This window comes from Homo sapiens, chromosome X, assembly GCF_000001405.40.
Source record: "Homo sapiens chromosome X, GRCh38.p14 Primary Assembly".
In the NCBI taxonomy this organism is placed as follows: Eukaryota; Metazoa; Chordata; class Mammalia; order Primates; family Hominidae; genus Homo; species Homo sapiens.
Window position 1 is genome coordinate 106,893,984 of NC_000023.11, and position 25,843 is coordinate 106,919,826.

Consider the following 25,843-nt stretch of genomic DNA (forward strand, 5'->3'; position numbering starts at 1 on the left):
GATGACATGTGGGGATTATGGGAACCACAATTCAACTTGAGATTGGGGGCAGGGGGGACACAGCCAAACCATATCAGATGGGAAAGGCAAGGGAAGTCAAAGTGGTGACGACTATTATGATAGCATGTGTCAAAAAAGAACAATTATTAGATGTGTATACATTCATATATACACCTATGCACAATGTATAGTAGTGTGTGTACATGTATATATAAATATATGTGCATGTCTCTATCACATCTGTAATGTGCCAAGTACTCTGCCAGCCCCTTACATATGCTGTCTCATTTAATTCTTACATTAACCCTGTTAAAATGGTATTATTATCATTCCTATTTTATACATGAAGAAACTAAGGCTTAGAGACATTTTCTCATGGTCACTTAGCTAACAAGGAGTCGAGCCAGTATTTGAACCCAGGTTTGGTTTAAATCCAGAGTCTGTCCCTATAACCACCAGGTACAAAACAGTGCTGGCCATAGAATCCTCTGGATGGATGAGCCCTGCTCATCCTGGGCTTTGTGCTGTAGGTTTAGAGCTCAGCCACTAGAGGGGGCTGCCTGTCTTGCTGTTAGCGAAAACGAATTGAATCGCTAGGGACTTGGAGGCCGCTGTTCTCTCCCTTGGATGGAAGACTTCTAGAAAAACCCAGAGCCTGACTCCAGCTGGTTCCTGGTCTCTCCCTCAACCTCTTTTAATTCACACTTGGTCCCAGGCCTCAAGGTGTCCCCAGTGATGGGGATAGCAATGCCTTTTTGTGACAGTTTACACACTTCTTTCCCCGTAGGCTGCAGGAGGCCAGGGTGAGCTGCCTGCCCTAAGGGACTTTCAGGGCTTCTCTGGGGGAATAAGGAGGAGGGAAGGAGGAGCCTAGTAGTTAAGAGCCAGGACTCTGTAGTCGCACTGTCCTGTTCTACCCCAGCTTCCCACTCATTGCCTGTGCTACTAACAGGTCACTTCACTTCTCTGAGTCCCAGTTTCTTATCTGTAAACATTAGGATGCCCCACCACCACCACCACCCAGTTCAGGATAAAGTGTGTGTGGTGCCAAGCACAGTGCCTGGGATAGAACGGGAGAGCTCAGCAATTGGTAGTTCCTCCCACTTTTCAGCCAGAGTGAGACATGCCCAGCCAGGGCCCATTCCACTCTGAGGCAGCACAGCACCGAGGGGCAGGAACAGAATTCCCTCATCCCCCTCTCACCCCTGGTAGCCCTGTGCCCACAGCCCAGGTGCTGTGAGAGCCTGCCACTGCCGGGCAGGAGGTCCCCAAACATTCCTCCCTCAGTGACACCTTTCAGAGGCCCTCAGTGTTTCCTGGCCCCTGGCCCAGAGTTCTTCATATCCTCTGACTCACTTCCCTGCAGCCAGAACTTAAATCTTTTCTCCCTTGCCCTCCCACAGATTTAATCCTTCAGCAAACCCTGTTGATTCCACCTCCTGAAAGCACAGGGCTCTGGTGTCAGGCAGCCCTGAACTCTAGTTCTGCCACTTACCATTAATGTAACCTGGAGCAATTGCTGTCATCTCTCAAATCTTGGATCGGTCATTTATTAATTACGTGACCTTAAGATTCCTTAACCTCTCTGAACCTCAGTTTCCTCATCCATAAAACAAGGAAAATAATAGTGCTTGAGTTTTAGGGTTGCCATAAGGATTCAATGAGGTAAAATGTGTAAAAAGCCTGACGCTTAGAAGGTGCCACAATTTACCAACTGTGTGATTTGGGGCAAGTTTTAAAAACCACTCTAAGCCTCAGTTTTCCCAACTGTACCTATCCTTCAAAGTTGTTGTATTAAAGGAGTTAATCCATGTAAGGTTCATAACAAGAATTCCAGAATTATCAGCTGTTCTAACTCTTATCCTCCTAGGTATCCTATTGTCTAGTCTTCTCTGGACAGGGAAAGCCCCACTCCCACACCTGTGGGTGTCACCACCTCCTACTCCCCCGCCCCCCTGCCACCCCGCACTGTGACTTTATGGCTCTCTAGTGGACAGACAGTTCATCTCCTCTCTTCTCCAGTCTCCTGTTGTAAACTGGTGACCTGACTTCACTGTTTTACTTGTCATGGCCTGGTGTTGGTTCCTGTATTTTTTACTTAATCACTGCTGACAAGGCTTGTAGCATCTTCCATGCAGGCACACAAACCCAGGCACAGAAACCCAGCTAACTCTTAGTTTTCTCATTAATAAGTGGGGATAATAATAAGACCTATCTCTAGGACTGTTGTGATTACAAGTACCACACAAGATGATGGGTGTAACGTCAGTAGCAAGTGCTGTGGCACCCGCTGTCAGAGCAGTCATTCCTTGTTGGCTTTCTGTATCTGGGTTTCTGTGTTTCCATGGAGGTTGTCACGAGCCTTGCCAGCCAGGGGATAAACCAAAAACACAGGAACCAACACCATGTTCCTGATAGGCCAAAACAGTGGATTCAGGTCTGCTAACAACCTTATTTGGGATGGGGATTGGCCACCATTTGGCAAAAGGGAAGTGGGGAGGAAAGGAGACAATGTATCTACCCACTAGATGGGTCACACAGGCACAGTTTTGAGGAGGGGGTGAGAGGTGAGGGTTTGTAACACCCACTGGGTAGGCAGAGGGCTTTCCGTGCTGAGGCAAAGGAGAATAGGCGACTATTTTAATGAGCATGTGCTGTGTGGGGAAGAGGTGTGACACAATAAAGAACTACAGTCAGGAGTTCAAGACCTGCCTGGCCAACATAATGAAACCCCATCTCTACTAAAAATACAAAAATTAACTGGGCGTCGTGGTGCACACCTGTAATTCCAGCTGTTCGGGAGGCTAAGGCAGGAGAATTGCTTGAGCCTGGGAGGCGGAGGTTGCAGTGAGCCAAGTGCCACTGCACTCCAGTCTGGGCAACAGAGTGAGACCCTGTCTCAAAAAACAAACAAACAAAAAACTATAGAGGTTGTAGTGAAAGGGTTAAGAGCAGAGAGCTGACCTTGACACTTGAGGGGAGTGGGCCTATGATTTGAGCCAGCATGCAGCAGAAAAGGCATTTGAACCCATGTTCATCTGCTTCCAAAGCCCATGCTCCTAATCATTACAACGTTAAGGGCTGGCACATAGTAAGTGCTCAATAAGTATTGTTTAATGAAGGCATTCATAGTGCTGCCTCTTTCTGAAAAGTTTTCTCCCTCCATTACTACTCATGCCCATCCTTCAAAGCCCAGCTCAAATGCAGCCTCACCCCAACAGATGTGTTCTCTCACTGCTGCAACAAGGTGGGAGAAACAGGAGGAAATCAGTGCTAGGATGGGGAAGTGCTGGGACACTAGGATGGGCCAGCCAAATGGAGCTGGAGGAAGGACTCTTGAGTTTTGCACAGAGATTTTTCTCCTGAGTTTGTGCACTGGAGTTGAAGTTGGCACAAGGATTGGAAACGCCCATAACAAAGTAACTCATACTGAGCTCTGATTAGTCAGAACAGTGAATTCCAATGACTTAGCAACCACGTATGGGGAAGAGGACTGGAAGCCATTTCAGGACAGGGGACGGAGAGGACAGCGAGACAAAATGTCTGCCCAGTAAACAACAGCAAGTGTGCAGTAAGGAGGGCGGGGTTGGAAAATGAGAAGAGCCCATTCTGAGTTACGAATTACTGCTCCAAGGGTTTTAGGATCTTTAAATCCCTGAGGATTTAGGGATTTGTAATACTATGCTATATAATACCTTAAAACCAAGGATATTGGGATTCCAAGGATTTTAAATCCCTATAACCTATGGTATAAGGATTCGAGCAATTTTTGAGCTGTGAAATGCTGGGTGCTTAGGACCCAAAACAAGGATTTTAAACAGAACACTGGACATTTTGAAGTACTAATTAATCTCCCTTCTACTTCAAATCAATCCTGGTTTAACCCTTGGAACAGTGGTTTCCAAATTGTGTTTTCCACAGTCTAGGGATCCTTGAAAGTGCCTCCCAGAAAGGGGTGGAGACAGCTACTTTACCGGAGAGAAGACACCAGCATAAGAATTCTGGCCCCCCCCCCCCATTATGGCTTCCACCAGGATAGCTCCATTTTTATTTGATTTATATATTGGGCTTCTGCATTCAATTCAAAAGAAAGGTTTTCCTGCTAAAGCACAAAAAATACGTTTACAAACCTCTGGCCTTGGAAAAAGGGAGCTAAAACCTGTGGGTTACCATTTGAATGTAGACAGTGGTCCAGGGAGCCACACTTCGCCTCTATTGTTGTTTTGTTTTTTTTTTTGGGGGGGCGGTTTCTTTCTTTCTTTTTTTTTTTTCATTTTGGAATAAACACTGAAAAGATGCTTTTACCGGTAAACCATCAAATGGTGCCAGGAAGATCAAGTGGTGATAACTGACAAATCAGTTATTAGTTGAGTAAATCGTCATTAGCTGACTCTGGCCTATAAGATCATTTCCTTTATAAAATCAGCAATAGCAGCTACTAAGACTACTATTATTATGACTACTACCATTTATTGAGGGTTTGTACTATGTGCCAGGGGGCATGCTAAGTACTTTACATATATCATTTAATCCTCACAATAACTCTGAAAGGAAGTATTATTAGCCCCATTTTACAGACGAGGAGACTGAGACTCAGAGTGGATAAGTAACTGGCCCAAGGTCATACTGCTAGCACATGGTAGATTCCACTTTACTTACAAACAGAAACAGAATGGACTAAAAGAATTAATGCAGTCAAAGGTCAACTGCCTGGAAGCCTTAATTAAAGAACAAGGTTAAATTTTGACCAATAGATGGCACCAGTGTGTGAGTTTGGTGGCTTACTCAAGGTTGTGTCCAATGCAGGGAAGTCCCAGCTAGGGCTTAGAACTGAAGCAGCCTGTCTCATGCTGAGGGAGAAGGAAAAGAAAGATGGTCATCGTTTTGCTCCTGAATGAAATGACATTACCCTTTTCCCTTTGTAGCTAAACCAGGAAGCCAGCAAGTTGGGGGAACAATGGTGGTTCCACCAAGAGCTACTTTCAGAAGATTTGAGAATCTTTTCTCTTTCAACATTTCCTGAGCACCTCCTTTGTGCCAGGCAGTGTTCTGTGCAATGAAGTCATATGGGAATATCAAATACAGCCCCAGGTTACTGTATAGGAAAGGAGGCAAATGCTATGGTAGGGGAGGCTCTGAATGAGTGGGGGCACCCAACCTGGTGCCTGGGATGTCTGGGGAGGCTTCCTACAGCAGGGGTGTCTGAGCTGGTTCTGTTAGATGAATGAGAGTTTCCTAGGCATGCGAAAGTGGAAAGGCATTCCAGACAGGGTTAAGGACACACACAGAGGTGTTAGAAAGCATGCCACATTCAAAGAGAGGCAGTGTAAACTTCAAGAGTTGAGAGATGAGTCTCAAGAGACAGGCAAAACCCAGACAACTGAAAGGCCTAGAATATCAAGTTAAGTACTTGATTTGTGAAGATATAGCACTGTGTGTGTGTGTGTGTGCGTGTGGTGTGAACAAATGTATTTTTCTGAGTAGAGAAGCCACAGGTTCTCAAGGGGATCTGTGACCAAAAAAAAAAAAAAAAAAAAAGATAAGCCCAAAAGTGTTGGCAAAGTCATGATGTGGTCTAATCTGGTTGTCAGTGTGGAAGATGAATCACAAAGGGACAGCTGGAGGCCAAAAAAAAAAAAAATTTAGTCGAAGAGTAATTGGAGCAAGGGTAAGCATGAGGGTCTGAGCTGTGGTAAATATAAAGGGAATTGAGGAAAAAAATTGCTAGGTCCTAGTAGCCCTCCTCCCCACATGCACACAGCCATCTCTGAGGCTCAAATGAGGCTGCACCTGTCACATTTCCCCTCTAACCTGCATCCCTACTCCCAACTTACAAGCTGCCCTTTGGGACCTTTTTGTTCCCTTTCCAAGCCATCCTTGCAGTTTAATCAAGTCTGATTTCACAAATTGATGGAGAGGGCCTGGCCCCATGCTGGGTCTCCAGCCCTACAACCCCATGAAGAAAAACTTGTCAACTGACCTCAGGTAGGAAAAGCAATGAATTGGCCTTGAGCTGGTCTCTGAACCTCTGCCCATGGCTTCACAATATGGGCAGAGTTCAGTTAAGAAATCAGCACAGTTCCAAGAAAAAGGAAAACACCATCCAGTTTATTTTTCTCCTGATTCATCTCATGCCAACACACAGACTTCAATGGACAGCAGGCAAAATGGGGAGGCATCCCCAGAGCAAGCCGATTCTCTACACACTGCCTTCCCTTCCTGTAAGACTCATCAAAAAGGCACCCCAACCTTGCATGGATCTGCTGTTGGTATTCCTTGGGGTGAAGCCAGAAGTCAGGCTTTCCACAGAGAGACGGGACTACATGGCCACCTGGGAAGGCTAGGGAGTCAAAGGGCCTGAGGAATGACTACTTCCCTCCACAAGGGCATTCCCTGCCCTGCTCTGCTTCCTGGGGGCTTCAGCAAGCCTTCCTTCTAGAGCTCCTAGAACCCTCCCATGGTCAACACAACAGCAGCCCAGACAATGAGATGCAAGAGGCCTGAGCTCACAGGCCATTCAGGTAAGCCAGGGTGAGCTGGGCAGCTAGATGACCCAATTTTCAGTCCAGAAAGCTCTATCTGCTGGACTAATACTTCCGGCTAACTGATGTCTGTGAAAACTTGCCAGACAAACTGAACCCCAATCAGACTCTGGCTGCCTCCATTTGGATAGGTTAGGGGTGAGGAAGGGGGATGAGCTGTGGCGCTGTAGGGTATGGACCCTGGTACCCTCACACACCCTTCTGGCCCCTTTTCATTGGCCTCCTACTTCTCTTCTTCATCCTCCTGCTCTTCATCTTCCTCTTCTTCTTCGCTGTCTGAGTCCTCGTATAGGTTGATGGTTGCCTGGACAGGAAAGTTCTGCAGTAAAATCTCCCCAGCACTGTACAGATAGTCGAAGGAGCGGGATTTAGGCCAGAAGAGCCTGTGGACAGAGAAGAAACATGGCCCCTAACAGGTGTCATATGTGCAGAGGGGCCAGTAGGGCCAAGAAAGAAGCTGGCCCCTAAACCCCTTCTCTTGGCTGCAACAATGAGGTCAGAGGGAAAGGAAGAAAGAAAGTTTTGTAACAGAACCTTCTGCATTGTTACAAAGTGGCCCCACGCAGGAAGGTAAACCCTTATGGACCTATAGTGGTTGGGTCGGGGGCCAGCCCCAGCATCTGTCACTTATGGCTCTGACTCCACCTGCTACCTACCCCAGAAAGCTTCTAGCCAAGAATTCTCCAGCCCTATGGCCCCATCTCCTTCCACTGAGGATTATTTCACTGACCCATCCATGGGGGATCATTCTTGGGCATCGTTAACAATGCCTCTAGAAAAGACAGCCTTGGCAAAGTCCCTTAACCTCTCTGGGCTCCAGTTTTCTCTCCTATGAAACAGCGATCATAGATAGCAATTCCTCCCCTCTCCTGCTTCACAAGACCTTTGTGAAGATTCAAAGAGCTAATGGATCTATGTCAAGTTTGGAGCTTCATGCCAGAAGCTTACCTGACAGGGTGATGGAACTTGGATTCAGCCTTGGTGACCTCAGCAGCCGTTGCCCCACCAGCAGCCTGTCCAAAGCAAAAGCTAGCATGTGGCTCAAAGTACATGGCTAGATAACTTCCTCCTCTGTACTAGAGGTCAGAAAGCTGCAGGTAAAATGATCTTGAAGAGACCTTAGACATCTCTGGGACCCAGCAACCCCCAATACCCACCCCTCAACAAGGGGTCTCTCTTGGTTCTGGTTGAAAAACAAGCAGACAGAGTCCTGCGGGTTGTTTGCTTCCCTGCCTCTGTTCCAGCACCTGTTTGGAGGCTCTCCAGGGGACAGTGTTCTACTGGAGCAGCAAAGATTCAGGGAGATCGGGTGGGTGGGAGAGCACTGGAGTAAGGTGCCAGGAGACGAGGCCTCAAGCACCAGCACTGCCACACACTGGCTGTGGGGCCTGCCCAGATCCCTTGCCCACTCTGAGCTTTGGTCTCCTCATCTTTCCAATTGCCACAGAAAGCTTGGATCTGCTCTCTGTTGGAATCAAATGTTGGCAAAACTGTGAGGATGCTATCTCAGATCTGCACCTTTGGACTGAGGTCAGGGGCTCTCTGGGAAGTGACCTGGTCACTGTTAATGCATGTGGCTGCATGTGAACACACGTCACAAGGGCTCGAACTCACCAAATCCACCAGCTTCCTCATCTGCCTTGGGGAGTCATTTGTGGAAGACAGCCAGGGCCTCCAGAGACAAGTTCCTCTGGGACAAAGAGGAGAGATCAATCCGTAGAGGAAGAGACTGAAAGGTGGGCTCCCTGAGATAACAAGAGACCTCCCAAAAGCTTGGCTCAGGTGCCATCTGCTCCAGGAAGCCTTTCCTAAGGCTCCTGAGCCCATTCCAGGACAGATGTCCCTCCTCTCGGCTTCAGCAATGTTATTATTGCTTTTATCATGCTGTTTTGTAATTGTCTATTTACTTGTCTTTGGGCTTCTTAAGCTCAAAGATATGCTCAATCGTATCTGAATCCTCAACACCTAGTACAATGTCTGGTACACAGTAGCTGTTTCAGTAAATGTTTGTTGAAGACTAAATGTTTGGAGTAATGAGTGGGGGCTAGATGGAAAATATCTTGCCTCCTACTTCCTGCTCCAAGATGTAGAACTCAGAGCTCTACCATCTTCCTGGGCTGAAGAAGAGGGCCAGAAATGTTCCTGGGTCCACTGCTTCCCCACTGGACTTGCAGAGGTAGGAAAAAAGCAAATGGAAATCTTATGGCGTGGTCAGGAAAAAGACAATGTCCCAGTCAAGGGCCTCTTTAGACTTTGGTCCTCTTTCCCCAAACTCCCCACCCCCACAGTCTAGATTGTGTTAAGCCCAGGTTTCATGGCAGTTCCCCATCCCCCTCAGGGGACTCAGCCACCTGGCCTATGAGGACCTGGCTGCTTCACCTTCAGCTTTGGCAACAGCTGTCCCCAAGTCCCCTCTTGCCACCCAGCGGGATTAGTGAGGTGAAAAGTCAGATGAGATATTCCAGCTAGAGTTGAGGAGGGAGGGCTATGAGGCCATTGCTTTTCCCCTTCACAGAGAACAGGGTGCCCTGGACATCTCATTTTCCTTCCTCTCTCAGGAAGCTCTCAAGCCTAAGTTCAGGTTGCCAAAGGCTAAGCTCAACTTACCTTTCACTCCCATTTACTTCTTGTCCAGAGGAGAGAAGGCAAGATGGGCTTAACAGGCCAGGGAGTGCCAGTGGGGCTTGTGCTAGGTCTGGAGCTAGGGCCAAAGCCAGGGCTGGAACAGGGGTGGCAGCAGCAGCACAGGCAGCAGAGTCCATTCTTAGGGGACCAAAGCCAGTGGGGTCTCCTACTTCCCAGAACCTTCTGCACTCTTTTGGCTTTTCCTGGGAGACCCTTTTATAAGCCCTGCCTGGTCTTATAAATTATTCAGGGAGGACAGGGGTGGGATGACTTGGGAGGGGGATAAAGATTTAGGGAAGGGGCTCAGGGAGGGAAAGCTGGGTTACCTGGGTGTGAAATCTCTCCCAGTTGAATAAACATGGTGTCAGTGGGAGGTGAGGGATTTGCTTTGCCTCCAAGTCAGAAAGAAAAACACAGAAGGGGCAAATCGCACACCATTTGTGTGAATTCCCCAGGGAGTAGCAAGGCCTGAGAGGGGAAGGAGAGGAGCTCATTAGCACTCTGAAACCACAGAGATGTCAGGGACAGAGGGCTGAATAGACAGGCCTTTAACTAAGCCAGTTCCTGGCAAGAAGAGACAGCTGACCCCTTTAAGGAGAGTGAGGGACTCACTTGTTATTTCAGCTCAACCTCAGATAGATTTGCCAGGTGGACCTGAATGTAGGGTGACTGCCATTAAGCATATCATCTGGGTTAGGGAAAAAAGGGGCATTCTGGGCAGAGCAGGCCCAGATGCTTGTTGGGTAAACCTTAAGTCTTCTTTCAATGCCCCTCAGCCCCTTACTGATCAGTTCATTTGTCAAAGTGCCCCCTCCAGCCTCAGCAGTAAGTGGTCCAGTGAAGGAGAGCAGGCAGGATTTCACAGGGCCTCTGGGTGAGATTCCAAACCTCAGAGCTTAGCTTCCAGTTCAGAAGCCAGGGTGCTGGGGAGAGGCAAAGTTCTGCCCGACTACAGAGCTGCCGAAGGACCAGCCCCAGCCCCAGGCCTCAGTTCCCTCATGTAAGAGATGAGGGTGCTGGCCCAGTGGTCTCATAGGACCATGCCAGCCTGAACACTCTCTGACAGGGGCTACATAAATGGGTACTGAACCCGGGCAAGCCCAGAGGCCTGAGCACAGTCCTCGGCCTTAGCCAGCCTTCTGGGCCTTTGCCAGAAAGCTTCTAGTTACAACTACTGGCAGGGACCTTATGCTTCAGAGGTCTCGAAAATATTCCTCCTGACCTCAGTGTCCAGCCCCAGCACAGATTTAGCTTCTTGGATGTTCATCACAGTCTGGTTTGTAATGGTCAAAAATTAGAAACAACTTCAATGTCCAATAATAGGAAACCAGTTACATTAATTAGGGCAAATCCTTGCAACTGAATGCCAAGCAGGTGCTCACAATCATGTTCTGGGAAGTATAATTTTTCAACACAGAAAATGGAAAAAAAAATCAGATGGTAAGATAGCATGACTAATTTAAGGGCTCCTCATTTCTCTGTTCACCTACCCCCCATCTTCACCCCACTTCCAATTCTAGTCCCACTATGTTCTTTTCAGCAAAGGAAAATTGAAAACAACTTTTAAAAGCTGGTTAGATAAATCATTGGGCAGTTACACAATTTCATATTAAAATTGGCATGGTAGAAGAATGAGGGAAAAGTTAACATATTGAAAGAGTGAAAACAAAATAAGTCTCTAAAATATTACTTAAAGGATGATCCCATTTTGGTAAGAAAAAAGATGTAGAATGGACAGCGTGCAGAGAAAAAATAAGACTGGTGAGAAGAAAGAGTGTTAGGGTTGTCATTTCTGGGAGTAACAGTGGGGTGGATTTTTACTTTATGTTTTTCTGAATTTTCTAAAAAGTTCCACAATGAACTGATATTATTTGAGTAATAAAAAGGAAAGGCACAAAAAATAAAAATAAACCAACAAAGAAATGTTTATCCATGGAGGAACGAAAGCTGGGGGAAATGACAGATATTTTCAAATATCTGAGGATTAGACTGCAATGAGATTACACTTGTTCTGGGTGACTTCAAAGGGCAGGGCTGAGGCCCATGGCTGGAAGCTACATGGAGACACATTTTGGCTCAATCAAAGGAAAACTTTCTAACAGCTCAGTCACCACCTAACCCAAGGGCCTGGCACGGTCCCGGCCCTCAATAAACAGAGGTTTATTATATGAGGTGAAATGAGTTCAGTGAAATGTGCTGCCTTGGACTTGAGAGAGCTCTCTGTCCCTGAATTTTCTAAGTGCAAGATAGATCCCAGGTCCTGAAGAGGGAAATCTTGTGGGGAAAGAGAGGGTTGCTGGGGAGCCAGAGCATCTATCAGTCTCTGAGAGTTCTTGCTAAATTTACCTTCATGAGCTAAGCGTTTCCTTGTACTGACTGCATCACTGGCTGAAAGGAGGAGTGTGGCTCAGAGAGGGAGCCAGGCTGAAAAGACTGGGCTGGAAGGAGATGGTGTGCAAAGGAGGAAGAAGCACAACACCTGTTGTCACACTCAAGGATCTTTTCCACCTGTAAGTGGCCTCCGAGAATCAGCAGAAGGAAGGAGGGAGAGGGCTAAGAGGCAGATATTCCTCCTGAGCTCGGGGCTCATGCCTGACCAGACTCAACCATGCCACCCATCATGCCACCTCCCACCTTGAACTTGTGTTCCTTCAGTCACCACCTTCACGTTAGGAGCTGTCCAGTCCCTTCACTCCCCTGAGCAGCAGGCCTCAGGGTTCCACTTACACCCAGCTCCCAGCATGCTCTCCTGGAGCCCAGGGAGCCTTCAGACCTGTTTCCATGGGTCTTTGTCCTCCCTACGCAATGGCTCTGTCTTGCTACCTCCTAGGAATTGCCTCAGCCTCATTTAGCTTGTGGGACATGAAGCCGCTGGCTCTTCTTGTTGGCTTTTCCCCGGCCTGTAAGATTTAAGGCCTGCAAGTGTTGCTAGGCAAAAGTTGGCTGTTCTCCTTTTCACTTAAAACAAAACAGGAGTAAACTGGTCAGCAGGGCAGCAGAAAAGGTATGGATCAACCAAGATGGAGACCTTCCTATCAGAGCAATTAAGATCTTACCTCTGTTCCCCTAACAGCCCTATAGTGCTTCTGGGTTCTGCCAGTGATTGCTTTTCCAGACCTTTCTGAGAGTACTGGGGCTAGCATTGCCTAGCTAACGGACAGACAGGAAAGGAAAGTGCCATGGACTCTGCCTCAAGCTTAGCGAAGGAGACAAGACCCGCAGAGAGAAGACAGACTCGATCAATCTCAGTTGACCCCAGCGCCCCTCAGTCATCCTTGAGCATGTTCCCTTGTCAAGGCCCCAGCTCCAGCCTCCACATTTCGCTTGGCCACATTCCAAACTTCCTTCAGCTCCTTACCACGTTCCTGCCCCTCCCCTCTCTCTGTACAGAATAACCTCTCCTTCTACTTCCCTGAGAAAACAGAGGCCTTCAAGCGTGAATTACCTCAGTGCCATGCCCCACTCCCCCCTCAAACTTGGCCTGCCTTTCCAACTTCCTTCCCCTCCAGCCCTCTCTTCTCAGGGGACAAGGTGCCCCTCTGGTTAAAGGCTAATCCCTTTGCCTGGGCCTTGGCCTCATCCACCTCCTTCCTGGGCCCTTCCTCCAGCCATTTGTTATGCTTCTTGTCTTCGGGAAAGTTCAGCTTCTCTACACCAGCTCTTTCTCTCCTGATTATAAAATGCCTGTCTCTGTTATCCCAAAAAACAAGAACTCCCCCTCCACTGTATGTTCTCTTGCTCCCCTAACTTGCTCTTTCTCTCTTGATCTCTTTCTCTCCCTCCCTTCTTTCCTCTCTCTATTTTCTTTCCCTCACTCTCAAATTTGTTGAAAGTAGTCTACATGCTAGACTTCCGCTTTTCCTGGCTCCCATTCACACCTCAACCAAGAGCAGCTTGGCTCCAGCCACATTATCTCAGTGAAAGGGCTCTGCCAAAGGTCACCAATGACCTCCTAATTGCCAAATTTGATCACTTCTTTGAACTCTGGGTGGCAAAAGACACTATTGGCCAAGTCCTCATTTCCGAAACTCTCCCCTCTTTTGGCCTCCATGATCACGCTTTCTTGGTTTTCCTCCTGCCTCTGGAACCATTCCTCATGGTCTCTTTTGCTGGCCTCTCTTCCTCTGCCCATTCCTTGAATCAGTAGTTCTTCAATTACAGTCCACAGAACAGGCTGGTATTATACAGCAATGTTTTCACAGCAAAATGAGAAAAACTTTACTAGGAAAGTTTTTCAATAAATACATTTTTTCAATTATAAAGGACTAGGCTGGGTGCTGTGGCTCACGCCTGTAATCCCAGCACTTTGGGAGGCTGAGGCGGGTGGATCACTTGAGGTCAGGAGTTCAAGACCAGCCTGGCCAACATGGCAAAACCCCATCTCTACTAAAAATACAAACATTAGCCAGGCGTGGTGGCACACACCTGTAATCCCAGCTACTCAGGAGGCTGAGTCAGGAGAATTGCTTGAACCCAGGAGGTGGAGGTTGCAGTGAGCCGAGATTGTGCCACTGCACTCCAGCCTGGAAAACAGAGCGAGACTCCGTCTCAAAATAATAATAATAATAATAATAATAATAATAATAATAATAATAATAAAGGACTCTCCTTCGTTCTGAGATTATGCTGTTCCTACTTTTTGGTAGTAAAATGTTCTTTGAAATTATGGCAATGATGGAAGTTACTTTATTTCTTTAATGTTTCTACTCTGGCAAAATAAAACATTAGTTTATCTATGTCAGTCCCATAAATGTTTATTGAATGAATGAAAGAATGAGAGTTATGTTTCCCACTGAAATTTTTCCAATGGGTATCTCAAACTTATTCCAAAACTGAACTGTTTTCTTGCCGGACAAATCTCCTTTGTACCTACCTTGGAAACCAGCATTATATTGACCCAGTTACTCAAGCTCAAAACTTCGGCTGCTGATTTTGGTCTTTACCATTTCTGACTTTTGTCTCCTCCATGTTCTCCACTCTTCCACTCTCCCAGTTGTTTCTTAAATTATGGCCTCATCTGTCCTCTCTCACCTGGATGCTCAACAGAGCTTCTTCATAGTTTTCCCTGTCTGTGAGGTAGCCTTTCCAATCCATTCTCCTCACAGCTGCCCCAGAGATTTTTCTAAAACACATAGCCAAGTATGGTCTTCCTCTCCTTAAAAACTTCCAGTGTCTATAGAAAATGTCCAAACTCCTTCGTGTGGCAGTTGAAGTCCTTTGACATCTGAGCTCAGCCTGCTCTCCGGTCTTCTGCCTCAGAAGGGCTTCCACACACCATCCATTGCAGCCTCCCTCAACTCTATCTCCATCCTGCAAACACGCCATTCACCTGTAATCTTTTCAGGGTTTAGGGCCTCTGGAGGGAAGGCTCAGGGTCATTCTTGGGACAGTGTATTTTTTTTCTTTCTTTTCTTTTCTTTTTTTTTTTTTTTGTTGTTGTTTTTTTTGTTTCTTTTTAGACAGGGTCTCACCCTGTCGCCCAGGCTAGAATGCAGTGGCACGATCACAGCTCACTGCAGCCTTGACTTCCTAGGCTCAAGCGATCCTTCCACCTCAGCTTCCCAAGTAGCTGGGACCACAGGTGTGTCCCAACACCCATGGCTATTTTTTTTCATACTCTATAACAATGTTTATATACAAATGCATTGTGTATCAAATGAATACACTGATACCAAATGCATGGACTGGGCCATGCTGTAAAATATATTTCTTACTGTGGGTCACAGTCAAAAAGTTTGATAGCACTAAGGAGATTAGCGCAGATGTTATTCTGTGATTCATTTAGTTAGTGCTGCTCATGTCATTGTCCTTTGCTCTCAAAATGGTTCTGGTCTCATTGCCGGGTGTAACAGAGGTCAGGAGACTGGATACTGCCCAAAGATTTCATGGAGGAGGAGGAGATTGAGTTGGACTGGGTTTAAGGAGGCTGAGAGAAGGTGGAAATGTAATTCTGGCAGAGAAAAGTGGCACAGAGGTGGATAATAAGAGTAGAGAACATTTGTTAAACATTTATACGCCAGGCATTATTCTAAGCACTCTGCGTGAATTAATTCAAGTCTCACAAACAACCCAGTGAGGAAGATACTATTAAAAGCTGCATTTTAAAGATGAGACTGGGGAACTTACCCAGGGTCACAGAGCTAAAAGTGACAAGATTGGGATTTGAACTCGGGGAGTCTCTGTGCTCCTAACCACTGCCCAGCCCTATCCTGCCACTGGGGAGCAGTGGGGAGAGTGGGCTGTCTTGGGAACAGTGAGAGCCTAGGCCAGCGGGCAACAGAGGGAGGAGAACGTTGAATGCCAGGTTGAAATTTCCAGCAACAAGTTCTGCGCTCCTCTCCAGAAAGGAGCTCTTCCTCTTTCCCTCTGGCCTCTGTCTTGCAAGCCGGAGCCCCTGGGGTTGAGGGCAGGAGGCCTAAACATCCAGTGAGGGTGCCCAGTGGAGGCCCGAAGTAATACAGGGTCTGCTCTGAAAGAGGAGCAAAGGAGAAGTTTCTCTCCCCAACCCAGGCCTGCCTCCAAATCATAAATAGCAAATGGTGCCTGGGGCCTCTGCCCTCAAGTCCAAATGTCCCAAATGTGCCAACTCTTATATGCAGTCCCTTGGGTTCCTGGGACGGGGGTCCCCTCTGGAGAACAGTTTGTTCCTGGGTCAGCTCTCTTCCTACACCCTCTGCTGCTTGGTCCACCATTTGAGCCAGGGCTGTGGCCCATGTGGTGCGGGCTCTCTTGGCAGAACCTCTCGCAGCTCCCCATTTGCTCCTCATTTGGACTGCAGAAGCCTAGAAAAACAAAGCTCTGAGGAAGAAGGTGGGCAGGAGGGAGGTGTTTGGAAACGTCACTCCCAGCTGGGCTCCTTTCCTTCTCCGTCCTGTCCTTCCATCCAGCTCCTCCCCTGGCTCCTTGGGCCAGCCTTTTCATCCTCTCTTCTCTGAGACAGCCCCCTTTCCCAGCCTGGCCTGAGACCTTGGGAAGATGAAGCGATGCTGAATTCTCAGTAGTGCGGTCTTTCCTCTTGTCCTTTTAGTCTTGGTGTCCTGATGATCCTGGCTAAGTAAGCAAACGATACTAGTAACTAGTGGCAGCTATCTTCCTGGGATGTGGATCCTGAGAAACTAACAAAAACAATGACAAGAAAAATAGCTCACATCTATTGACTGCTTACTGTGTGCCAGGCACCGTGCTAAGTGCTTTATTGTTTTATTATTGACTCCTCACAAAAATCTTATGAGGTAGTTACTATTATTGCTGCCATTTAAAGGTGAGCAGAGACTGGGCGCAGTGGCTCATGCCTGTAATCCCAGCACTTTGGGTGATCTGCCCGAGGTGGGCAGATCACCTGAGGTCAGGAGTTCAAGACCCTCCCGGTCAACATGGTGAAACACTGTCTCTACTAACAATACAAAAATTAGCTGGGTGTGGTGGCTTGGGGCACCTGTAATCCTGGTTACTCGGGAGGCTGAAGCAGGAGAATCGCTTGAACCCCAGGAGGTAGAGGTTGCAGTAAAATTAGATTGCACCACTACACTCCAGCCTGGGCAGATAGAGTGAAACTCCATCAAAAAAAAAAAGCCATAAAAGTAAAGGTCAGCAGAAAACTGAGGCATGGAGAGATTAAGCAATTTACCCAGGCTCAAGAAGCTATTGAGAGGTTTGTCTGCCACTCTAACTCAGGCCCTTCTTGTCTAATGCCTGTACTTTTGCAGTCGATCTTAACGTGGAAAAAGCTTGGGCGCTATAGCTAGACTTGGGTGTGGGGGAAAAATAATGGTTCCTACTTCACAGAGTTGCAGTGAAGACTGAAAGAAATAGTGCATGGATTTTGCTTAAAACCTGACATGTAGTTAGCACTCAGTAAATGGTGACTATTATGATTGTTCCTTTTGCCCCTCCATCATTGCATACATTGTGGCTATTCAGAGCACAGGCTTTAGAAGCAGGCCTAGGTTGGAAGCCTTCCTCAATCTTTTACCATGCAGGTGATGTTGGGTAAGTGAACCAATCTCTGAGCCTCAATTTCCTGGGGATGAAAACAATAGTACTCATCTCCCAGGACTGGAGTGAGGATGAAATGAAATACTGTATGGAAACTGGTGTTCCTTTTCTGTCCCACATACTTTCAGGTGTTTTTGCATACTGGGCCAGATTTGGCTTCCCAGAACATAGCTTCCATCCTGCTCAGACACCCGCAATGGCAGCTCATGAGTGATGGGAATAAGAGGCATTTACATGTTTTCCCTGTTCCTTCAAGCCTCACCTCTGACTCCACCCTGCTCTCCCCCTTACTTCCAGCAGGCTTGTTACTACAGTGTCCCTGCACATGACCATCTCCACCCCCCAAACCCCTGCCAAGACTAGAACACCACTCTTCCCCATGACACAAATTCTGCCCTCCCTTCCAGGTCCTCCTTGAATCCACACTGACTGCAGGAAGCCTCCAAGCCACGCTAACATCTGCGTCCCTCTGCAGGCCTCTCATTTGAGCTTTTCCCCCATGTAGGGGTGCCAGCCCTCTTTTCAGTCACTTTTTTGGATAAGAAGCAAGCCTTTCTATCGAGGTGCTGTGGCTTAATCTTGTCTCCTCGCTCCCATCAGCACCTGGCACAGGACTGGGGACATGGCAGGCGTTCATTTCATGTGAATGGAATGATGTTGACACAGGTAGTTGGTCTGAGAAGACTAATAGATTTAGTCTAGCAAGTAGCCTTGGGGCTCTACGGTAGGGTGGCAGACAGCTATGACAGGTGCATGGGCCAGGGTGGGATTCTCTGTTCATATTGGGGCCTTCTAAGACAGAGCACCCAAGATCCCAGGATACGAGTAGTTACAGAGGGTCGCTGTTGACTTGGCTGGGACAGCTCATGAACAAGGCAGGTCAGGAGTAGGAAAGGGCACAACAACAGCAGAGGTCCTTTGGGAAGGAACCTAGGAATCCTCTCCTCCTCTTCATGCCCAGCTGTCTCCTCTACTGACAGGACATTTCTAAGCATAATTAAAATTTCATCTCCACTCTTTCCCAGACCTCTTCCCTCCCTCTTCCAGCCTCAGCCTAGACCAGCAGCCCTAAAAATGTGGTCCAAAGACCCAGGGAGCCCCTAAAATTCAGGAGGTTCAGTCAAAACTACTTTCATGGGGCTGGGCATAGGAAGTATATATGGATATATAAAGCACTTCTGCATACTGAAGTGCAATTGTCATGAGGAAAAGCACTTGCACAATTGACTTGCAAGCTAAACTAGCGAATTTTTTATGGAACTCTTTTTTTTTTTTTTTTTTTTTTTCAGACAGAGTCTGGCTCTGTCATGCAGGCTGAAGTGCAGTGGTGCCATCATGGCTCACTGCAGCCTCGATCTCTCAGCCTCAAGCGATCTTCCCACCTCAGCCTCCCAAGTAGCTGGGACTATAGGCTTGCGCCACCATGCCCAGCTAATTGTTTTATTTTTTTAGCAGAGACACAGTGTCGCTATGTTGCCCAGGCTGGTCTCAAACTCCTGGGCTCAAGCATTCCACCTGCCTCAGCCTCCCAAAGTGCTGGGGAGCACTTTATTTTTTTTTTTACTTGAATGATTGACAGATAAATTGTGGTTATTCAAACTTGGGTGCTTGGCAAGTATTTTGTTAAAAATGGACAAAATGATCCTGTCACCTCAAGGAAAACAACTGTTACTATTTGTTGTCAATGATAAAAGTTACGCTTTCAAGTAAAAAGCACAATTTTGGAAAACCTGTATCAGCCACTGTGAGCTTGAGAGCTTCTCAATATCCTAAAGAGCTTTCTAATAAGATTAGTAGGGATACTAATGAATGTGATTTTTTAATATTGTAGAATCAAAAAGCGAGTCAGCAATGGGAAGATCTGCATAAGTGGGTGGACCGATATTTTCCAGATGACTAATGCATGATGTTACAAAATCATGCATGGATAACAGATCCATTCAAAGTGCAATTGATTTTTTTTTTTTGAGACAGAATCTCACTCTGTTGCCCAGACTGGAGCACAGTGGCACAATCTTGGCTCACTGCAACCTCCACCTCCCAGGTTCAAGCAATTTCCATGCCTCAACCTCCCAAGTAGCTGGGACTACAGGCATACACCACCAAGCCTGGCTAATTTTTGTATTTTTTCTACAGACAGTGTTTTGCCATATTGGCCAGGCTGGTTTTGAACTCCTTACCTCAAGTAATCCACCCACCTCAGCCTCCCAAAGTGCTGGGATTACAGGTGTGAGCCACGGTGCCTGGCTGACCAGTAGATTTTAATGTAACAGAGTACAAAAGGTTCACCGATACGGTTTAGTTTCAGATTCAACATTGCAAAGAAACATTAAGAAACAACCACTTGTGAAGTTTAGGTGTAGTTATCAAGAAGAATCCCCACACCATTTATTAGTTTTGTATTGCTGCCATAACAAATTACCACAAACTTAACAACTTAGTACGATGCCCATTTATCATCTCGCAGTTATATAGGTTAGAAATCCAGGTGTGTTCACCTGAGTTCCCTGCTTAGGGTCTCACAAGGCTGAGATGAAGTGGTTAGCTGAGCCGGGCTCTTATCTGGAGGCTCTGGGGAAAAGTCCCCTTCCAAGTTTACTCAGGTTGTTAGCAGAATCCAGGTCCTTCAGGGTGTGGGTCTGAGGCCCCCCTGACTTGCTGACTGTCATCCAGAGGCTGCTTATGGCTCCTAGAGGCTACCTACACTCCTTCTTACGCAGCTCTCTCCATTTGGAAACCATCAACGGCATAGTCAAGTTTGCATCTCTCTCACTTCCGACTTCCTTTTCCACCACTAGAAAACTTTTTTTTTTTTTTTTTTTTTTGAGACAGGGTCTCGCTCTGTGGCCCAGGTTGGAGTGCAGTGGTGCAATCTCGGCCCACTGCAACCTCCACCTCCCGGGCTCAAGTGATTCTCCTGCCTCAGGCTCCCAAGCAGCTGGGATTACAGGCACACACCACCACGCCCGGCTAATTTTTGCATTTTTAATAAAGTGGGTTTTGCCATGTTGCCCAGGGTAGTCTCAAACTCCTGAGCTCAGGTGATTCACCCACCTCGGCCTCCCAAAGTGCTAGGATTACAGGTGTGAGCCACCGCACCCGGCCACAAACCCTCTTTTAAAGGATTCCTGTGATTAGGTGAGTACAACCTTGATAATTTCCCTTTGCCATATAACTAACACAAACATGGGAGTGATATCTCATCAGAAACACTCCCAAAAGAGAAGAAATTTATAGGCATGTGAGGGACATTTGGGGGTCATTCTTAGAATTCTGCCTAAAAGGACTATTAAATACCCCCCTTCTCTACCTCCCTATCTTTGTGGGGCTGGATTTTCTTCACACACTTCAACCAAAAACCACATATTGCAACAGCTGGAGTGCAAGAGCAGATATGAGAATCCAGCTGCCTTGTGCTCAGCCAGACATTAAAGAGATTTGCAAATATTGAATATAATGCCACTTTCTTGCCATTTTTTTGTTTTGAAAACTATAATTGTCATAAATATATATTATTTATGTTATAATGTAATAGGTTTATAATTTTTATTTTAAAGTAATACATAAATAGTTAAAATGTAAGTTTTAATTATAAATATGTTCAATGTCAATAGATATAACCCTTTGGAGGTTAGACAAATAAAAGCCCTTTGGAGTCCTCAATAATTTGTTAACTAATATCTTTTATTTGTTTATTTTTAAATTTGCATAGATATTAAGGTGCTGAATGACAAAATGTGGAGGGATGTATAAAATTCACTCTTTTGGGTGTGCAGCTCCATGAATTTTGACAAATGCATAGAATTATGTAACAACAATTAAGAGTTTCAACACCCCAAATAATTTCCTTATGCCACTCCATTGTAGTAAACCCCTTCCACTACCCCAACTCCTGGCAACCACTAATCTATTATCCATCCCTAAGTAGTGTCATTTCAAGAATGTCATATAAATAGAACATAACAGTAAGCAGCTTTTTGAGTCTGGCTTCTTTCATTCAGCATAATACATTTGAGCTTCACCCATGTAGCTGTGTGTATCAATAGTACATTCCTTTTGATTGTGAAGTAGTATTCCATTACACAGATGTACCAGTTTATTCGTTCACTAGTTGAAAGACATTTAGGTCATTTCCTAAATAAGAATGTAAAGTGGTCCTGAGACCAAAATGTTGAGACCCATTGACAGAATGTGCTCTTCCCAGAGCTCTCCTCAATTGGGATTTTTGTGGACCAGTGGAATTACAAAATTTTTTAAAATGAGGGAGAATCAACATATGGTTTTCAAACTTTTAATTTTGTTAATTAAGGGCATTGAAAAATACTACCACCTCTTATTTTACAAAAGAAACCTTAATACCAACTATTCAAAGAATAAGTCCGGAATTACAAGTAGTCTTTTAAATTGAATAAGCTTTAAATAATTTACAAATCTTGCTACATTGGCCTTAGTTTTCTCCTATTGGTGATCCTCTACCACTCCCTTCCTTTCTTCTTAAGTCTGTGCATTAGTGCTTAGGAAGCCCTTGCTCAACATTTCTCCTCCTAGATCTGCTTATCCATTGCCTCTCAAACCTTTATTCTCTCTTTCCTCCCAGACATGTCTTCATGAGCCCTTCTCCTGCCTCCCCTCCCAGAACTTCTCTTCTTCACCCACCTTTCTCTTACATAATCATTTTGTCTCTCCTTCCTCTTCTCCTGGACCCCTTTCTTCCCAGACCCATCTAGTGTTTCCCTTCTTACCACAATCTCTTCTCAGTCTGATTCCATCAATTCAATGGTGCACCTACTATGTATTAGACTAGAATAGTGATGAAAATAACAATTGAAAGCCAAACCCAATGTGCACAACAAACCCCCATGACATGTTTACCTATATAACAAACCTGCACATATACCCCTGAACCTGAAATAAAAGTTGAATTAAGAAAAAAAAAAAAAAGCCAAACCCTTCAGGCATTCACAGTCCTATGCAGGAGTAGCAACAACAAATACAACCCAAGACAATTGGTGGGGGGATAACAAGATGCTTTGGGAGCATAGAGGAGGAATATCCAACCAAGAGACCCCAGGAATCAGGGAAGCAACCGTTAAGCTGAGCCCTAAAGGATAAGGAGTTTTCCAGACAAAACCAGCTGAAGGTGGAGTAGGGCCAGGGTCCACAAAGAGTTCCAGGCAGAAGGAACAGGACTTGTAAAGGCCTAGAGGGAAGGGAGAGCATTGTAGGCTTGAGAAACTGAAAGGAAGCCAGTCGGGAGAGTGGGGAGTGAGGAGAGTAGTACAAAACCAGTTTGGAGAGCTAGGTAGGGGCCAAATCATACTACTATGTGGAGAATGGACTGTAGAAAGCCAAAAGGAGAAATAGGAAAATCAGAAGGGTATTGCATCCCGGTGAGAGATGATGCTAAGGGGAGTGGAAGTCGAAACCAGCAGATGGACAAAAAAGCTAAATTTTGGAGGTAGAATGGGAAAGATTTACAGGTCTGATACAATGAGGGTCAGAGAAAGTGGAATTAAGGCTAACTCTGAGGTTTCTGGCTTAAACAATTGGCTTTCTCAAAGGGAGAAGACTGAAGGAGGACTGATTTCAGTTCAAAGGGAAATCAAGGATACAATTTTGAGGCTGGGCATAGTGGCTCACACCTGTAATCCCAGCGCTTTGAGGGGCTGAAGCAGGAGGCTGGCTTGAGCCTAGGAGTTTGAGACTAACCTGTGCAATATAGTGAGACCCCATCTCTACAAAAAAATTATAAAAATTAGCTGGGCGTGGCGGCACATGCTTGTAGTCTCAGCTACTTGGAAGGCTAAGGCAGGAGGATCCCTTCAGTCCAGGAGTTCAAGGTTATTGTGAGCTGTGATCATGCCACTTGCATTCCAGTCCAGGCAACAGAGCAAGACCCTGGACATGTTGCATTTGAGACAACTTTCAGCTATCCAAATGGAGATGCCAGTATATAAAGGTCTGAAGCCCAGAGAAGTCTGGGCTGAAAATGATGATTTGGAAGTCGTCAGATGATAGAGGATAACTGAAACCACAGAGGATAAATGAGACTTCCCAGAATGGGAATGCAGAGTGAGGAACGAGGACTTAGGTCAGGCTCCTGAGAAGTGCCCATATTTAAGGGTCTGGCAGAGGCAGAGGTACCAATGAAGAAGTACCCAGAAAGATAAGAGGGAAACCAGAGGAGTGTTGTTATCACAGAGGCCAAGAGGAGAAAGTATTTCAAGGAAGACAAGGTTATCAAGGGCATTGAATGTTGCATAGAGGTCATGGAAATTAAGGACTAAAAAGTGGCCATTGGATTTGGTGACATGCGGTCATTGGTAACTGTGACAAGAACTTCTTTTGGTGGAACAGTGAGGGTGAAATGTCTCTAAGTCTCTCTCTGCCCTAGACCCTAACTCCTTCTCCCAGAGTCCATCCCTACACCCTCTTCCTTAGAGTCTCTTACTTCTCCTTCTAGACTCCTCTTTTCATAGCATCATTTCCTCCCTGCCCTTCAAGACCTTGCTTTCTACAGAGCTCTCTTTGATTTTCTTCCTCAAAGACCCTTTTTCTCTCTTCTCCTTTTCTCTTCCCCCAAACCACCTCTTCCCATACTCTTATTTCCCTCCCTTTATTCTCTCCCTACTCACTTGTCTCCTGAACTAAATGCTGCTTTTCTCAGACTGCTATTCTTTCCTGTTCTTTCAGCCCCCTCTCCATTCCCGCACCCATCTAAGCTCTTTGGATCTCAGCAGGGGTCTTGGCAGAAGGATTACTAAAGAACCTCCTAGGCTCAACACTGAGGAGTCATAGTATTTGGCATGATTCCACCAGGATCTGACAATGCCGACCTGAAGGAAACACAGTGTTAGAACCCAGTCCTTGAATGATTGCCAATCTGGAAACCACATCCTGCCAACACAGTCTCCTCATCCGCCCTGGCACCTGCCCCTAAGATTCTGCCTTTTCCTATCCTCAATTGCACAGTCACTATGAACTGATAAGGTGCCCCTCTACTACATTCTGCATTCAATCAGCATTTTCTACTTGTCAAAATGCATTCACATTCATTCACCCAGCCTTGGGAATTCGGCTGGGTGAAGCCTGGGAAAAGAAAATGGAGAGGCTTGCCTGAGGTCACATAGTTGGTTAGAGGATTAGCCTGGTATCCCTCCCACCCCTTCAGCCTTGCTTGCTTTCATGCCCAAAGACTCCCCAGGCCTGAGCTCAGGCATGGCTGCCCTTTTAGCGTGTCCCAGCCTGCCAAGAGGGAGTGCCCTGGAGAGACCCTTGCTCAGGAGCACTGCCAGGGGATCAGTGCCCCATTTGTACCTGCAAGGTAGGGATGGGCCGCCTTGGGAAGGAGGATGATTTCTGGTTTGCTTCACTGAGTTCACCCTAGGCAACAAATCCGACTGTTTGCTTTGATATGACTTGAAAAATAGAGTCAAGCATAATGACTATGAGGCAAGCTCTAGAGGTGGCCAGGTTTGGTACCCAGGCCTTGCTCTGTACTAGCACAGTGAGACCATGGATAGGAAACACCTCAGCACAGTGCCTGGCACCTAGCAAGTGTTCAATGAACCGTGGCCTTATCATTTGTACATGGGAATCCTTGGGAGGGAGTTGGTGTTGTACACTGCAAAGTTTGCCAAGCTAGATATCTACAGACCTAGATTCCAAGTCTAACTATTACTGCTCAACTTGGGATGTTGGGCAACTCTTTTCATCTCATTGGGCCGAGGTTTCCTCATCTGGAAATAGTAATGGCTGTCTTATTTTTGTAACATGTTGTATTGGCCTTTAAAACATGCACACTCTTTCACCTAGCAATTCTATTCTTAAGACTTTGTCAGTATTATGTGCAAAGATGCTGGGTTATAGTGAAAATGAAAATAACAAAACGTCTAGTAGTTTACGATTAAATAAATCATATTTTATATGATAGAATGCAGTGCAGCCATGACAGAATGATGTAGTTCTGTGTTTTAATTGACATGGAAATAGGTCCACGATATGTTATTTACAAATGATGTAAGGTTACATAAACTGTAGGTATAGTGTGATTCAATTTTATAAAACAAATCCCATCGATATCTTCTACAATACATCAAAATGTTAGCAATGATTATTTCTGGCTGGTGGCATTATGAGGACCTCTATTTTCTTCTTTATAATTCATTTTCTGAATTCTTTTCAATAGCATCTAGTATTTTTCTACTTAGAAAAAACTAGAAAGCTTTTTTGCGTTGGGAGAGTAAAGCCAGTCACTGCGCTCTACTACTCCACAGCATGTTTTTTTGTTTGTTTGTTTTGGTTTGGTTTTATTTCTGTTGTTGTTTGGGTTTTTGTTTGTTTGCTTTGCTTTTTTGAGATGGAGTCTCACTCTGTCACCCAGGCTGGAGTGCAGTGGTATGATCTCGGCTCATTGCAACCTCCGCCTCCTGGGTCCAAGTGATTCTCCTGCCTCAGCTTCCCGTGTAGCTGGGACTACAGGTGCGCACCACCACATCCAGCTAATTTTTGTATTTTTAGTAGAGACAAGGTTTAACCGCGTTGGCCAGGCTGTTTTCGAACTCCTGACCTCAGGTGATCCACCCGCCTCGGCCTCCCAAAGTGCTGGGATTACAGGCGTGAGCCACTGCACACGGCCTTCACAGCACTTTTGAGAGGCTTAAATGACATAGTGCATGGCA

General features: G+C 46.1%; 2 protein-coding genes across 4 annotated transcripts in view, besides 1 other annotated feature; one reads left to right on the forward strand and one right to left on the reverse strand.

Annotated features, from left to right (window-relative positions):
- Nucleotides 672–1,196: an enhancer, noted in NCBI's record as "H3K4me1 hESC enhancer chrX:106137885-106138409 (GRCh37/hg19 assembly coordinates)". NCBI's record gives its function as "activates a minimal SCP1, AML or CMV promoter by ChIP-STARR-seq in naive H9 embryonic stem cells {active_cell/tissue: H9 hESC(naive)}" and the evidence as "EXISTENCE:reporter gene assay evidence [ECO:0000049][PMID:30033119]".
- RIPPLY1 (ripply transcriptional repressor 1) lies at nucleotides 6,080–9,358 on the reverse strand. Of its 2 annotated transcripts, NM_138382.3 has the most exons (4): nucleotides 9,150–9,358; nucleotides 8,157–8,232; nucleotides 7,491–7,555; nucleotides 6,080–6,925 (listed from the first exon to the last, which is right to left on the reverse strand). In NM_138382.3, the coding sequence occupies exons 1-4, from the start codon at nucleotides 9,302–9,304 to the stop codon at nucleotides 6,766–6,768; spliced, it is 456 nt and encodes a 151-aa protein (NP_612391.1). In that variant the 5' UTR covers nucleotides 9,305–9,358; the 3' UTR covers nucleotides 6,080–6,765. The 2 variants fall into 2 exon arrangements, with proteins under 2 accessions (NP_612391.1, NP_001165177.1); NM_001171706.2 differs by lacking the exons at nucleotides 7,491–7,555; nucleotides 8,157–8,232.
- CLDN2 (claudin 2) overlaps nucleotides 6,181–25,843 on the forward strand; it is a 30,698-nt gene continuing 11,035 nt past the window's right edge. Inside the window, exon 1 of one of the 2 annotated variants that reach the window (NM_001171092.1) lies at nucleotides 6,181–6,521. The gene's annotated coding sequence lies outside the window, so the exon portion shown is untranslated. Of the gene's footprint in view, nucleotides 6,522–24,376; nucleotides 24,487–25,843 lie in introns of those variants that run through there. The other variant, NM_001171095.2, reaches the window with a different exon arrangement.

What these genes read in the sequence shown, in the direction of transcription:
- RIPPLY1 (NM_138382.3), bottom strand. Translation starts at nt 9,304, where the DNA reads ATGGACTCTGCTGCCTGTGCTGCTGCTGCCACCCCTGTTCCAGCCCTG. An exon ending in TGAGGAAGCTGGTGGATTTG is followed by an intron (nt 7,556 to 8,156) that starts GTGAGTTCGAGC and finishes TGCTTTGGACAG; the next exon opens with GCTGCTGGTGGGGCAACGGC. An exon ending in AAGTTCCATCACCCTGTCAG is followed by an intron (nt 6,926 to 7,490) that starts GTAAGCTTCTGG and finishes CTCTGTCCACAG; the next exon opens with GCTCTTCTGGCCTAAATCCC.